The sequence below is a fragment of the Homo sapiens genome, chromosome 20 (assembly GCF_000001405.40).
Source record: "Homo sapiens chromosome 20, GRCh38.p14 Primary Assembly".
NCBI classification, from domain to species: domain Eukaryota; kingdom Metazoa; phylum Chordata; class Mammalia; order Primates; family Hominidae; genus Homo; species Homo sapiens.
Window position 1 is genome coordinate 37,830,896 of NC_000020.11, and position 15,879 is coordinate 37,846,774.

The following is a 15,879-nucleotide window of genomic DNA, read 5'->3' on the forward strand; positions in this document are numbered from 1 at the left end:
CTTGATGTACGGTTTCTACTGAGTGCATATTGCATTTGCACCATCGTAAAGACAAAAAATAAGTCAAGCCATCATAAATCAGGAACCATCTGTATTCCATTTATCCCTGACTCCAAGAATGTGGCCCAGTTCTAGGCTTCAAAAACTAAGTGTGCCCATAGAACCCCAAATTCTGGTTTCTGTCCACCAACTTTACCACTGAAAACATGAAGCTGCTAGCGCATAGCCATTCACCTGCCAGTGTAATACATCCAGCCCTGCATCTCTCCCAGAGTCTTGGAGGAAAATGTTTTTCTTCTGTCTCAGTTCTGACCTCTTAACTTCCAGTGTGTAGCCACTCCTACTCAGGCCCTCCTCTTTCCTACCCCAGCTGAATTAGGGGTCCTTCACATATGCGCTGAGTATTTTCCATGCATGCCAGTTAATTGTGTACTCTATTGTAATTGTTTATTTCTTTTTTCTTTTTCTTTTCTTTTTTTTTTTTTTTTGAGATAGAGTCCTGCTCTGACACCCAGACTGGAGTGCAGTGGTGCGATCTCGGCTCACTGTAAGCTCCACCTCCTGGGTTCACGCCATTCTCCTGCCTCAGCCTCCTGAATAGCTGGGACTACAGGTGCCCGCCACCACGCCCAGCTAATTTTTTGTATTTTTTAGTAGTGACGGGGTTTTACCATGTTAGCCCGGGTGGTCTCGATCTCCTAACCTTGTGATCTGCCCGCCTCGGCCTCCCAAAGTGCTGGGATTACAGTCATGAATGACCGCACCCAGCTGTAGTTGTTTATTTCTTAGCGTTAATCATAAAATGATGAGCTTCTCTAGAGTGGGCTAGCTTTCATCACTGTCGTCTTAGTACTTGCTACATTGCCTGGCACATAGTTGGTACTCAGAATTTTGAGAAAAGGGAGGGCTGGTGACGTACCACTTCATGCCCTATAATTATCATAAGATTATGAAACTCTAGAAGGAGAAGCTAATCTTCATTTCTTTACAGATCACACATTGTATTTTCAGTTCTTGCAGGAAGACCAAAAGGCAAATGATTATCATGGCCAAGTACATTTCTTTTTATTAAAAGGTAGGACCATCTCTACTTAGATGTGCTGTGTCCTTCAACTTACTAGTAAATAGTCACTACCCACCTTAGCACTGTCTGCAGGTCTCCCAGAATCTTGTATTATTTGGCTTTATAGCCAGCGACACACAAGCACTTTATTTTAATTTATTGTGGGATTAGAGAGTCTGAGCGAAGTTGGCCTTGCTCCATTTTAGGGTTAGAACAAATCTTGAGTTAGAGAAAATAGCCCTACCAGCTGAGAGAGCCAAGCAATCTAGGTTTCTGTTTTTCTCAGCAGGAGCCAGTCAGGATGACCAGGGCTGACTGAAACATGTTCAGTGGCAGACATGTGATCAGGTTGCAGTATGGAAGGAGTTACCTGGTGATCTAGGACAGGTGCGTAGGTGAGCGAATCCCTTGTGATTCTCTTTTTCAGTACAACAGATCTCAAACTGCTGTCTGTTGAGTGCCTACTATACACATACCTCATTTGAAAGAATGGGTTTAATAGATGGGAGGGACAGCCCCAGCTTACAAATAAGAAGACTGAGGCTCAGAGGCTAAGCTCCATGCTTGTGGCTTAACCAGCTAGTGAGTGCCAGAGACAAGATTTGAATCCATGTCCCTGTGATCCTAAATCCCCACATAAGGTTAATTAATTCACTTGTTGGCATGTCTGGAGCAGATCCCAGGAGTTAGTGTTCTCCATGTACCTGTGTGTCTTTTTCAGCAATGGAACCATAATAGGCCTACTCATAAGCAGGCCCATCTATGGATAAATAGCTCTCCTCATAGAGAATGGGTAATGTTAACCAAACACCTGCTGGAATGTGGACCATACTTTTTTTTTTTTTTTGAGAGTAGGGATGAGAAATGCCAGTCCATCCCATTCTTCACAAAAATGGTGCACACTATAAATGGCTGGTTGGAGTGACTGCCACAGTCTGTGCTGTTCTGGAAAGACCTCTGATTTGGGTGTACTAGATCAAGCGTTCTTAACTAAAGAGCCATCACTAAGAGATGTGAATGCTCTGAAACTCCATGGAAAATGTTACATTTGTGTATGTGTTTCGGGAGGGTAGCATGCCTCCGTGTGTATCAGTCTCAAATGTCTGTCATGATTTGGAGGGAAAAGCAGATTTAGATTCCAGTGGCCCACAAAGGTACTTTGGACCTGAGGCAAATCACATTCCTTCTCAGGGCTATTGTTTCCATACTCAGAACCCCAGAATCAGATCAGAGATTTCTAGCCCTCCTTCCAGCTCTGAAAATTATAAAACTCGAACTGCCCCCTGGAAAATCAAACTTTTAGCCCTCTCACATAGAAACAGGCATCTAACCCTTTGCTAATCATCCTTGAGAAGCCCTGAAGAGAGCTGAGCTGGGGGAAGGGTGGGCCAGAGCCTCCCTCCAGGCGGTTTCAGTAGTTAGTGTCTGTCTGAGGCAGCTAGTTGTCTGACTGTTGAGCAGGGAGCCCAGCAGGCAGGGACTCTCACTGGCACAATTTCAATCCTGGCTCTGTAACGCTCCACCTAGATGCCAGGCTACCTACCTCTCTGCCTAGTGATTTGAAAATGTAGATTTGCCTGGCCTTCCCCTTGGTGGAGCCTTGTTGCTTCTGTGTGTGTGTGTGCGTGTGTACATGCATGTGTGTTTTCTGCACTTCCTGGGCCCTCCCTTAGAGGCTGTTCTCTGCAGTGGGAACTACCACATCCACCCCATCTGCATTGACAGCTCCATAACCATCCTTCACCTCCATTTTATCCTGTCGAAATGACGGAGCAGCTGAGCAGTGTTGGCCAGCAGATAAACCTGTTATCTTGCCTGCTCCCTGTGCCAGCAGCTCTCCCCGTCTCCTTGGTGCATGAAAAATTGACACCACCTTGGGCTGAAATCTGTTCTTAGGGAAGCTACATTTATTAGTAGCTAATGAAACTCGGTGTGTGTATATATGTGTAAATTTGGGATGGCTGAAGTGTTTCCCTATCTGGCCGGCACCAGTAGCCTATGGCGTGCCTCAGCATCCAGATAGAGAGGTAGAAGGGCATAGGCATCAATTGGCAACCTATCCTTCACTTAAAATCCCAAATAGGTAAATATCATTTATTCTTAGTATACCATTGCAGTTGATCATGGTATACCTTGCTCCAGACTGTGGTGAGCCGTGGAAATGCATGCCAGTGTCATGTGCTGCCAAAGAAGATGGTTATTCTATTTATTACATTTTTCTCTTTGAAAATTACAGCTTCTGATACCCTCTCTGTGCCACCAGCACCCAGCCCTCCCTCCCCCATCTTGTTGAGGTATATAAAGAACATTCTCTTGCAACTCTTTCTCATCCATCTTAATCAGCAAGATTAAAAGGGAAAATTATTGAGAAGTTCTGGTTCAGTATTTTTGTGGAACTGCCTGAAACTCAAAGTCTCTTCTTTATTTAGACTGTGGTGGAAATTGCTTCCGCAAAGACTAATTCTGTAAAATAGAGAAAGAGGGTTGTTATTCATGTCTTACTCCATATGGCCTTTTACTTCATTTTACTCTTGTTAAAACTGTTAATTTTTTAATCCACATTTACATAGTGTCTGTCTTTTGGGCACAGTGAGCCCAAATATGAGGCGTATTTTCAGGCTTTGCATGGTCTCATTTACCTTCCTTCTTTAATAGCATTGATGATTGCCTTTTATATGTGGGAAGCATAACATGGTAGGAAAAGCTTACAGTTTGGAATCAGGCGACTTAGATTCAGATCTAAGATCCAGCCACCTACTCAAGCACATGACCTTAAGTCCGTTAATCTCACCGAGCCATGGGTTCCACATTTATAAAATGGAGATGTGGATAGTACCTTTTCCACAGCTTAGTTTTGAGGATTCAGTGAAAAAATTGTGTACAGACTCAAGCCTACTGGCATAGATAAACAGTAACAATGATGACAGTTATTATTATACCCTACTTACGTTCAAATAGGAATTAGAAGGAGCTTTCACCAAAACAATATGGTGGCACTAAATCTTAGCTTTGAATAAGAATTTGTCAAAACACAAATGTTAAATTAGGGAACCTATTTGCAACATATTTGGAAAAGGGTAATATGCTTAATTTATAAAGAGTTCATAGAAGTCAAAATTGAGCAAAGGATAAGGGCAGGCAGTTCAAGAAAAAGCAGTACAAGTGGCCAGTAAACATAGTGTGATGGTTAATTTTATGTTAAGTTGACTGGGCTGTGGGATACCCAAATCGTTGGCAAAACATTATTCCTTTGGGCTTGGGTTGGTACTACTCCATTGGCTTTCCTGGGCCTTCAACCTGCAGATAACAGATCACGGGCCTTCTCAGTCTCCATAATTGCACAAGCCCATCCCTCATAATAAATCTTTTCCTGTACATTTTTATATTTCCTATTCTGTTTCTCTGGAGAACCCTAATACACATAGGAAAAGATGTTTAACCTCATTCGTAACAAGAACAAAAACATGCTAATCAAAAGAAGATCTCATTTTTCACCTACTGGGCTGTCACAATTACTAAGTTGGATAATATGCAATCTGAGTGAGGATATGAGAAGACAGATGCTCATATATATACTAATAGTGGGTATGTCATTAGTACAGCCATTTTGGAAGACAGTTTGTCAGTGTCTTTCAACATTTCATGTGTAAATTTCTTTTGATGCTTTAATTCCACTACTAGGAATATGTTTTAAGAATATTTGTGCAAAAGTAAGTCAAAATATGTGGGCTTGTATACTCATTGCAGCATTGCTTCTAATAGCAAGAATAAAATAACGCAAAACTGGAAACTACCTAAAATACCCATGAATGGGGCGCTAGTTAAAATTGTGATAAATAAGCTCAGTGGAATTCTAGATAGCCATTTTTAAAAAATGAAGTGTGGGTGCCGATATGGAAATATATATTAGGGAATATTTAGATATATGAAATGCAAAATTTTCCCCCTGAAAATGTACACAAGGTACCTTGTAGTTTTTCTTGGGAGAGAAGAATGGGTTCGTGGAAGGAATATGGGAAAAGAAATATATTAGTATAGATGCTCAATAAATATCAAGTACACGTTGTACCTTTTCATGTAGTTTGATTTTTACCTCATACATCCATTGCTTTTATTTTAAACTCCATTGGTAGGGGGTGAAGGGAATCAGTAACAACAAAACAGTAAAAGAAATTGCTTTCTGTGGTTGTGTGTAAATTCATCTTTGAGCTTCCTAATAGCCCAGGCAAAGAAGGAACATTGATAAGGAAATACAAAAAATTTATCAGGAAAGAGAAACATTTTCTTGATCTTGATCTCTGAAAGGACTGTGGCTGCTGAGGAGATTGGTGTAAACTCAGATCCAATGCTGTCTCTCCCCAGCTTAAAATTCACTGGTAGGCCCTTGCCCCTGTTCTCCATGGTCAGCCTTTGCCCACCTCACTGGCCTCCCCTCTCCCACATGGACATGGCAGTCCATTCATACTGACTTTTGCATATATTGTTCCTTCTGCCTGGAATGTTCTCTCCTTTTCTCTGCCTTGTTGTTGGCTATGGCTCTTCTTTGTTTTTTAAGATTTTCAGTTGTTGGTTATGTCCAGTAGGAACCCTTGGAAGTCAGTTGTCCCTCCTCTATGTTGCCCACGTCCTGTTTGCCTCCCTCAGTAATGGAACTTGTTACACAGTGCTATAATTGTTTTGTTTTCTTCACTAAATGAGGAGCTTCTTCAGGTTAGGGAGGGTGTGTTGTTTGTTTATGGCCCTGAACACTCAGCACTTGCTAGGCACAGAGGTAAACTGGTCAGTGGATGAGGGAGTAATCTGAAGTTTGAGTTCTGCCTCTTCCACCAATTAGCTCTGTGGACAAGTCACTTCTCTCTGGCCTCGGTTTTTCCATCATACAATGAGAAATTTGGCTCAAATAATCGATGAGAACTTTGGCTCTGATTTTTTTTTTCTTCCTCTGTGGTTGTCAGATTGTCATATATATAATACCAGGATGTTGTCACCAGCTGTCATACTAAGTAATTCCAAAGTTTTAGAACTGATCTTGTTAGAATTCACTGCATTTATTATGGCCTGTCCCATATCTGTTCACCAGCTGAAGAGATCACAGCTACTTCCAACTTGGTTGGCACAAGGTTACAGAGTTGATTCTGTCCCTCATTCTTTCTGCCCCTAACCTTTTCTCGTTGGCATACACAAAGGTCAGAGCACTTTCCCTGAAGTGCATCTTCACAGACGTTCCTTTCTTATCCTACTTTCTCACCCCGAGCTGAGCTCTGTTAGCTCGCCATCCTTACCCTGGGTTCATGGGGTTTTTTGTCTTCCTGTGAAGGCAGGGCCCGTTCTCTCCACTACTTTCTACCCTCATCCCACCCCAGTGAGTGACTACGGCAGACGGAGGTTACACCACCTCAATCCCAGCTTTACATAAAAGTTGAAAGGAAGATACTGGGGGAGCCTGGGGTCTTGAGAAGGTATATAGTACCTCTGTCCACAGCATATTTTAAGAAAAATGTTATATTTTCAATACCTAAAAAAATGGATTCTACCAATTAGAAATATGTTATTGAAATTGATGGCGCCCTCAGAAAAAGCTGTTTACCTGCTCCCACGTACAAAAACTCTTTAAGAACCATCTTGTAACTGAACAATTTGAAAGCATATTAGCAATGCAAAGGTAGTATTGCTCTGAATTTGGGCTAGGCATTATATATAAAAGTGCAAAAGTATTTGAAGGCATTTGAAACATATCCAGAATTCAAAAGTGGCCTGTTTGCCCCCATGCCCACCTCCACCACTGAAAACTTTTATATCGATAGCCTGCTTTCTTCCCATTCATTCAGCAAGTATTCCCAAAACACCTACCATGTGCCAGACATTGTTTTAGAACCGGGGATATGGCAATGAACAGAGCAGACTTAAAATATCTGCCTTCAGGGAATTTGTATTCTAATTGAAGGGAGATGGTGAACAAAACAAATAAACAAAATACAGTATTTTGGAAGGTAACACATGACGAAGAGAAAAATAAAGCAGATAAGACTTGAGAATAGCCATGTGAGGCATTGCATTTTTCAATAGGGTGGTCAAAGGAAAGCCTCGCTGAGAGGATGACAGTGGAGTAAAACCAGATTTAAAGAGTAAGTCATGCAGATAATCTGCCGCGGAACATTTCAGGCGGAGGAAACAGCAAGTGCAGAAGCCCCGAGGCAGGAACAGCCTGACGTTAGAAGCAGCATTTAGTCTGAGTTGGGGAGTCACTGGAGTGTTTTAAACAGACCTGACGTTAGGTGTTAACCTAAGGAATCATGCTGGCTGCTCTATGGAGATTAGGCCAAAGGGGACAAGGGTGGAAGGAGAGGGACTTACTAGTAGGCTATTGACTATTCCAAGCAAGAAATGGTGGTGATGTGAATGAGGGTAATGTAGTAGCAGTGGTGGTAGTAGTCAGAAGAGGTGGGATACTGGATATGATTTGAAGGTAAAGCTGATGAGGTTTCTCGTGGGATGTGAGAAAGAAGAGAATCAAAGGCATTTTCACTGGTTTTGGCTGGAGAAACTGGAGATTCTGGTTGCCATTAGTTAGATGGAAACAACTATGGGAAACAGGTTTAGGGAGGAAGATCAGGAGCTTGTGTTTGGACGTTAAGTTTAAAAGAACCAGCCAGGCACAGTGGCTCACACCTGTAATCCCAGCACTTTGGAAGGCCAAGGCAGGTGGATTGCTTGAGGCCAGGAGTTCAACACCAACCTGGGTAACATGGCTAAACCCCATCTCTGCAGAAAATACAAAATTAGCCAGACATGGTGTTGTGCACCTGTAATCCCAGCTACTCAGGAGGCTGAGGCAGAAGGATTGATTGAGCCTTAGAGGTTGAGGCTGCAGTGAGCCCTGATCGTGCCGCTGCACTCCAGCCTGGGTGACAGAATCTGTCTCAAAATAAAAATTAAGGAAAAAAAGTTGATAGGATGTTAGGCAGCCAAGTGGAGAGGGCAGGTAGACAGCTGAATATATGAGTCAGCATTCAGAGGACAGGACTGACCTATAGGTTCAAATTTGTGAGTTGTCAGCATGTAATGGTTTTCAAAGCCATAGGACAAGATGCGATTACCAGGGAAGTGAATATATATAGAAAATAGAAATCTAAGGACTGAATAACTCCAACATTAAGAAATTAGGGAAACGAGGGGATGGGGAATGCTTATTAAGTGAAGAAAAACACACTGGCACAAAATTATATCCGTGCTATAATCAGAGAAGTAAGAATGCTTCCTTGTGGCCTCAGTAGTCAGATGACATTCTTGGGAATCCAAGGTAACTGGCATAGGAAGATGCTCATCAGTTTTCAAATAAACTGTTTGTTGTTCACACTGTGAGCATTTTATTTCAAAATAAACTTTGTTCTGCCATTTCTCCACGAGTAGACTTTTGTCACCTGCTTTTCAAGGTCATTATTCTTGATTTTTTGAAAGTTCTTTTTAAAGAAAAGAATCTCTTTCACCTGAAGCCTATAATATACCCTTGAATTACCCTCTTCTTCCAAGAGTAGAAGAATAGTATTTCATAATAGAAGCCGCTGGGTTGTTGAACTCAGAAAGCCCTGTTAACTGTTTTGAAGTGCTTACAGTACAGCCACCTTTAAACTTGAAGCGGGGATGTTAGCTGCACCAGAATGTAAGTGATAGCACTGGGTCCCTATCATATTTCATATTTAATTCCAGGCTGTTTACTTGGGAAAGTTATAAGGTAATTTGAGAATTCGATACAGCATGTCTTATCTCCATTATTTGTTCATGCCATGGCTGGTGTTCATATTCTATTCACAGGTTATTTCTGTAAAGGTGGGATTAGTTTGAGATTCTGTTGTGGACAATAAAAATCAATTAATTCCAGACAGAAAAGGAATTCTAACTTAGTTTTGATTCACTTACTCAAGTTGTCCTTGAGGATCTCATCTCTTTTGAATATGTTTTTTGTGCAATGTGAAGATTGGTTCGGTTTTTTAGTGACACAATTTAGGTTCTTGTCTTATTAATCAATAGCAGCAGTCAGAAAGGCCTACTTATTCTGCCCTCAATAGAACCAGACGAGGCTTGAAGAGAGGTAATAATTACTGCTCTGATCTCAGCATGTTCTCTTTTCTCTTTCCCAACCCAGAGCATGTCTGTTCGATCCTGGCTTCCCTCCTGCGGAACCTGAGAGGGCAGCAGCGGACCCGGCTTCTGAATAAATTCACTGAAAATGACAGTGAGAAGGTGGGTGACTGTTGGACTGTAAAGCTGGGACCGGGACTGATAGAAAGGCTCTTTACCTGATGTGATCTGAGGGATACTGGGTTGAGTGGTCCTACCCTAAAATTCTCTTTTCTGGCACCTGGGCCCTGTTGCTTTGCGTGTCAAAGGCTCTTCTGGTTATTCTGCTTTTCATCTCCAAATGCATTCTCCTGGGAGTAGTAACACCTGAGGATGATACCACTAGTACTTGAGGGGATTTTTAGACCCAAAGAGCGTGGATTAGACTAGGATTTTTGTTGAGGGCTGCTGCACAGCATAGCAAAGTGATTAAGAGCATTGGCTTTGGATACAGACTTGAGATTTGAACCTGTTTTCGCTGCTTTTGAGATGTGTGCCACTCTGAACCTCAGTTTCACCAGCTTCAACATGGGGACATCAATACTCATCTTGAAGGGTCAGTGGGAGGTGAATTAGATAAGGTCTTACTAAGGTGGTGGTAATAAAATGAAGATAATGATAAGGAAATGGTAGAGCCTGCCCTAAATGGGCTATGGAAGCTGGGAACTCAATTACATGAAATTAGATGGATTGGGCTATGGAAGCTGGGAACCCAATTACATGAGATTAGATGGATCGGGCTATGGAAGCTGGGAACACAGTTACATGAGATTAGATGGATCGGGCTATGGAAGCTGGGAACACAATTACATGAGATTAGATGGTTCGGGCTATGGAAGCTGGGAACACAATTACATGACATTAGATGGATTGGGCTATGGAAGCTGGGAACACAGTGACATGAGATTAGATGGATATTTTATATCTTTAGTATGCCAGACGATAGGATTTTTAACAGTAATAAGAGCTACCATTTATTGAGTGACTACTATGGATTGGATAATAGAGAAGATGACTTTCATCGTTGCATATATTGTTACAACACTGTGGTTTATTTATCCTTGTATAGTTATTATTTGCATTGACAGGCAAAGCAGTTGAAGCTTAGAGACATTATGTAACTTACCCAAGAAAGGTTTAAGACTGTCTCTTTGAGCTATCTCTGACCATTTTTTCTACCCTCACCAGGAGTATAGCATGATGAAGAGGTCATCAGGTTAGGACACGGAGATCTTAGTAGTCACGTCACCCTAGTGACATCAGTTAACATCTGTGCTTCGGTTTCCTCATCTTTGAAATGGGGTTTGCTACCTGTCTTCCCTGCACACCTTGTCAGGTTTTTTTTAAGGTTTAAGGAAATAATGGTCATGAAAATACTTTATAAGCTGCAACATTAAGGTCTTAGGGTCATCAGTGTTGGCTAAAGAAGGTTTGACCACAGTCTTCTCAGACTGTCTGATGGCATGTTGCAGGAACATCACCTATTAAGCAATCAGTATCAGCACCTGGGTAAATGAATGCCAGAGTTGCCAAGGGCTGTGGTGGTGCCAACCTGATAAAAAGATAAGTCAGGAGTCTGGGCTGGCTTCACAGTGTTTCTTCAGTCATTTTGGAGTCTTGGGGAAAAAACAAAACTTTTTCAAATCCACTGAGTGTTCCTCAAGCCATGTTTGAAGCATGACTTTGCTCAACTTAAAACTGATTTTTAAGTTATTGCCAAGCAAAAGTCAGGGCCTTTTTTAAAGTTGCTGAAGGAGGTTTTCTTGCTCTCTCTTCTGACTCAAAAGCAACTAAAAAGATTTTACTCAGGCATTTTTAAAAAAAGATCAGCTCTGGGGCAGAATCTGAACATGAAAGGTTTCAGTTTGAAAAAAGAAATTTCTGTAAAGTTCTAAGTGAATATCAAGTGTGTAACTTCAAGCTCCTTCTCTTGGCAAGAAGGGACTTGAATTTTTATCTATTTATTTGTTTTTAACAACGTGCATTCCTGGGAGTTCTAGAAGGGCTGAGAATGCATAGCCTCCTTTCGGGAATGGGCCTGGTTCAAACTGCATTCATCCTAAGTGTTTGCTTTGTTCTGCCCCAGCCCTTTGATCCATTCCTGATGTGTCCCTAAGCAAAGCTTCTCTCATCCGCTGTAAGGAGTGCCAGAGCGGGTCTCCCTTTGTAAGGGAGCGACAGTGAGATGAATAGGAGTGCCACTGTTCTCTTGCTGTGCGTTGTCTTTCCTTCTCACTCAAGCCTGTGAAATCTCTCTTTCAGGTTGACAGACTAATGGAGTTGCATTTTAAATATCTGGGTGCAATGCAGGTGGCGGACAAGAAGATTGAAGGGGAAAAACACGTATGTATCCCTGCCTCACTTTTGCCAGCTATTGACTTGCCCTCCGTTTGGGTCCCTTGTGTTCCTCCCATCACCCCACAGGATAGGTAAGGGCAGCAGTGCCATCTAACATGTTATAGAAGTAGAGCAGATGATGGTCTGCCAAGTGGTTACGACTGCTCTTCTGACACGAATGACACCCTTTCAGGAAGAAGTATGTGTAGCGTCCATCCAGGTCTGACCTGGGAGTCTGGGTGGACAGCACAGGCACCCTTGACAAGAGCTTCTCTTCGAAAATCTGGCCAAAGTACAAGGCTGTGACCTGGTACCATGTTGGCAGAGCATGTCTTAGTACTCACACTTGCTGGCTTCTGAAATCCTGAAGGAGGCATGCTGAGGAAGGGTGATCACAGCGTAGAGGAGCTGGAAGGAAACTGAATGGTCCTGGAATCCAGTTACCCCATTTACAGATGGAAAACTGGAGACCTAGAGAACGGAAGCTCAGATGCATTGCAGCCAAGCCAAACCGCAGGTTCTGAAGGGCTGACCCTTGTTTTCTCATGTTGATTGTTGCTAAGAGAAGTGACACCTGCTGGATGTTTTTTCTGGAGGGGCTGTGCTTACTATGGTGTTATCCCACCCTCTGTGTTTTTCACCTCCTTCCGTTTTGTTCTCCACCATCTCTGGCCACTGTAGCTTTCCATCTGTATTCCTTAATCAGGGTAAGTTTTCCTATCACTGTTTAATGTCCAATTTGTATTCGCTCCCCTACAAGACACTTCTCAAGTCTTCAGTCACATTATAAAATGACGCCTGGCTTACTTTTTTCCAAGTCTACAGGAGACCTCATTTTCCTTGTGATCTTGTTTTGCTGCATCACTCCATCCTTTTCAGTCTTTTCTTAAAGATACACTTGAGGCTTTTGAACTTCACTGGTGGAAGGACTGATTTTAGTATAGCCCTCCCCACCTTCCCGTGTTGGGATCATCCAGCTAAGGCTACCGTGTTGCACTGGGAATTACACCAGCATTTTCCCTCGGGGCATGCCTCAGGCCAGAGTGAGAGACTAGGGCTGTGGGGATGTGGGGAGACAGTGACCTTGTTATCTGTCCTGTTTCTCTTTGCCACTTCTTATCCACCTCTTCCCTTTCATAAAATGTGGCAAGATTACCTTTTCTACTAGACTGCTGCACCTCTATCTAGAAGACCAGTCAGTCACTGACCAACCTATCACTGCGCTTTTAATTCATTCCATCGTCCAAAAATGTCAGAGTTACCAAAGGTTGTTTAACTTAACCTGAGGGAATGAGGGAAAACATGAAGCTTGAGGGGTTGGATCACCTTGGCTAGTATCATTCATGAACACCAGCAGATAGGTAGCTGTGCTTTTCATTCTTGTGATTTCCCTATGATCCCTAAACTGAGTAAGTCCTCAGAAGTTTGCGGATTGATTGAATTGATTAACTGGGGCTTTCTTCTTTTATACAGTGATACTACTGCAAGATAAAAGGCAGAGACTCTAAATTCTGAGGCTGCACTTTAGATATTAGCATGTTCCACCACAATTCTTTCATTCCAATTCACCCCAACCCCTTTGTTCTTTAATTAAACTTTCCGTTTCCATCTTTTCTACCCTATACAGTAACTTGGACGTGAAGGACACTCAGTGGTTGTTAAATTGTGGGAATAATGTACTCCTTCTCTTTATCTGAATGATAATTAGAAACAACTTGAAATTCCCTGGACTTTTGTAAGGAAAAAGCCATGAGACAGTTAGAACTCCAGCCCTGACAGAATCCCCGATGTTATCTGCTAGGGAGGTTTTGAGGGGTGGCAAAGAGAAGACCTGGGAGTCAGGGGACCTAGGATTTAAGAGCAAGCACCACCTTTAAATCACTGCTTGTCACTATGCCTCATGTAGCCTCAGTTTCTGGCCTATAAAGTGATACTAGCCAAGGTGATCCAACCCCTCAAGCTTCATGTTTTCCCTCATTCCCTCAGGTTAAGTTAAACAACGTTTGGTAACTCTGCCATTTTTGGACAATGGAATGAATTAAAAGCGCAGTGATAGGTTGGTCAGTGACTGACTGGTCTTCTAGATAGAGGTGCAACGGTCTAGTAGAAAAGGTAATCTTGCCACTTCTAGCTCTGAGATTTTGGATAATCGAGGTGACCTTCCTAAGCTTTGTTTTCTCATCTGTAAAATTAGAATAAAAACACCTCCCTTTTGGGCCAGACACAATGGCTCACACCTGAACTTTGGGAGGCCAGACATCCCTACCTTTTTAGGGTAGGCCAAAAATTTTGGGAGGCCAAGGCGGGCAGATCACTTGAGGTCAGAAATTTGAGACCAGCCTGGCCGACAAAGCAAAACCCCCATTTCTACTAAAAATACAAAAATTAGCTGGGCATGATGGCGCACGCGTGTAATCCCAGTTACTCGGGAGGCTGAGGCACGAGAGTCACTTGAGCCTGAGAGGTAAGGGTTGCAACAAGCCGAGATTGTGCCACTGCACTCCAGCCTGGGTGACAGAGCGAGACCCTGTCTCAAAAAATAAAAACAAAACACCTCGCGTTAAAGGTTATTATGAAGACTAAGCATAAAGTATAGAAAGTACTTTGCTCAGTAAGTAGAAGCTCCCGCCGCTGCTGCTGCTAGAATTTCCTAGCTTCCTTTGGAATTCTTGTGTAATTTTTTAGTAAGCCTTTTAGTAAGCCTTTTTAGTAAGCAGTCCTTTTCCTGAGAGCGTCCTCCTTGCCAGAAGGAGTCGCCTAGCAGAAGAGAGGGTTGGCACCATCAGATGCTTTATTTGAGGTGCAGCTTAGACTTTTTTTGAGGGAGACCTAGTAAGTGGCTGGGTGTCAGGGAGCAGTTTGCACATAGCTGTTAGGAAACTTGGCCTGCTTCCCAAAAGATTATCTATTATCAGCATTGAAGAGGGTGTGAAATTGATTAGCACTGACGGAGAGTAATCGCTGCAGCCACTCTCCCAGCATTCACAGAGCTGCTGTGTGCCACGGGCACCAAGGCCGTGCTGTTCCCTGACAAACATCTGTCTCCTTGATGCCAAGGCCGTTTTGCTGGGCACTGGCAAACATTCCAAGGCCATTAGTGCTCAGCAGCCTCAGTGTTACGCAGAGAGCCAGGGCAGGTAGGGGTGAGGGATGCGTTTGTGAGCAGTGTTTGCTGCTAGCACTCAGGCGCCATCCTAGCAGATGAAGCCGCCTCACAGGTGTAAAGTGACTTAGAACAATACGACCTCCTTTTCACCTCTGCCTCATGCCGTCTTCTCTCTGAGGTTGCAGACAGTTTGTCTCCTTGCCCCCATTAAATTTGAATGTCCTACACCAATTGGGAGCTTAGCAAATATTTGTCGACTTGAATTGAATGCTTATTTTTCAGGCATTTTGAAGACTTTGACTATCAGATCAGTAGTGAATAATCTCTCACATACCTCACCAAGTCTGCAACCAAAAAACCTAAGATAACAGGCTCAAGTATTGGTATTTTTATTGTCTCAGCCATCACCTTCCCTGTGAACTTCAGACTTCTCTGGGCACAGTGCACGTGCCCATGGTTTGCAGTTGCCCAGGTCACTGGAGAGAATCTAGTCATTTGGCAAATGTTGATGAGGTGCCCGCTCTGGGAATGTGCAAGGCCAGGCACCAGCTGGGGGTGAGAAGCAAAAGTGCCAAGAAAAGAATGGGCCTAGGGGTGGTGCCGCAGACAAGGGCTGGAGGATCCGGGGAGTGGGGAGAGGTCATCTAAGGCTAGAGTCACCCTAAACTCTAGGGGGGCTAGTTTTGTGGCTGAGCATTCGTGCTGAACCTAAAAAGGTAGGGATATCTAGGGCATTTCCAGCCTGGAGTGAAACAGCAAAGGAGCAGCAGTGGGAAGCCAAGTGAAGGGGGAGAGAAGAGGGTACCTTCCACGAGTGGAGGGTGTGAGAGGAAGAGCGTGGGCTTTATAGCCAGGCTTTATCCTGGTTCTCCGACTGTGGGCAAACAGTTGAACTGCCCTATCCTTATTTTCTTTCTGGATGGTGTTTGTTTTGTGTTTAAGGTGTATGTCCCAGTTTGTGTACTTTGAGAAGTTATGTATGTAGGGATATGGTGTCGGTGAATGTATTATGCATGAAAGCTGCTTGCACAGGGCCTGGCACACAGAAGGTGGTCAGAGAAGCTTTAGCTTTCTTTTCTCTACAAGGACTGTTTGTGTCCCCCTGCCCCGCCCCCGCACATGTGTACATACCCACTGTCCTGATTCCCTGCTGCTGCAAGGTTTTGCATGACTTGACTCTTCCCTGCTTCTCCAACCTCTTCTCCTGCCACTAGGCCCCTCCTGCCACACAGCCTTTGTTTCCTTCTTTACATTT

General features: G+C 43.2%; 1 protein-coding gene across 4 annotated transcripts in view; it reads left to right on the forward strand.

Moving 5' to 3' along the window:
• Positions 1–15,879, forward strand: part of CTNNBL1 (catenin beta like 1) — a 178,089-nt gene that overhangs the window by 136,866 nt on the left and 25,344 nt on the right. For all 4 annotated transcript variants that reach the window (XM_024451947.2, NM_001281495.2, NM_030877.5 and 1 more), the window contains 2 exons: positions 9,207–9,304; positions 11,444–11,524. In XM_024451947.2, the coding sequence (XP_024307715.1) occupies positions 9,207–9,304; positions 11,444–11,524 (179 nt within the window). The remainder of the gene's footprint in view (positions 1–9,206; positions 9,305–11,443; positions 11,525–15,879) is intronic.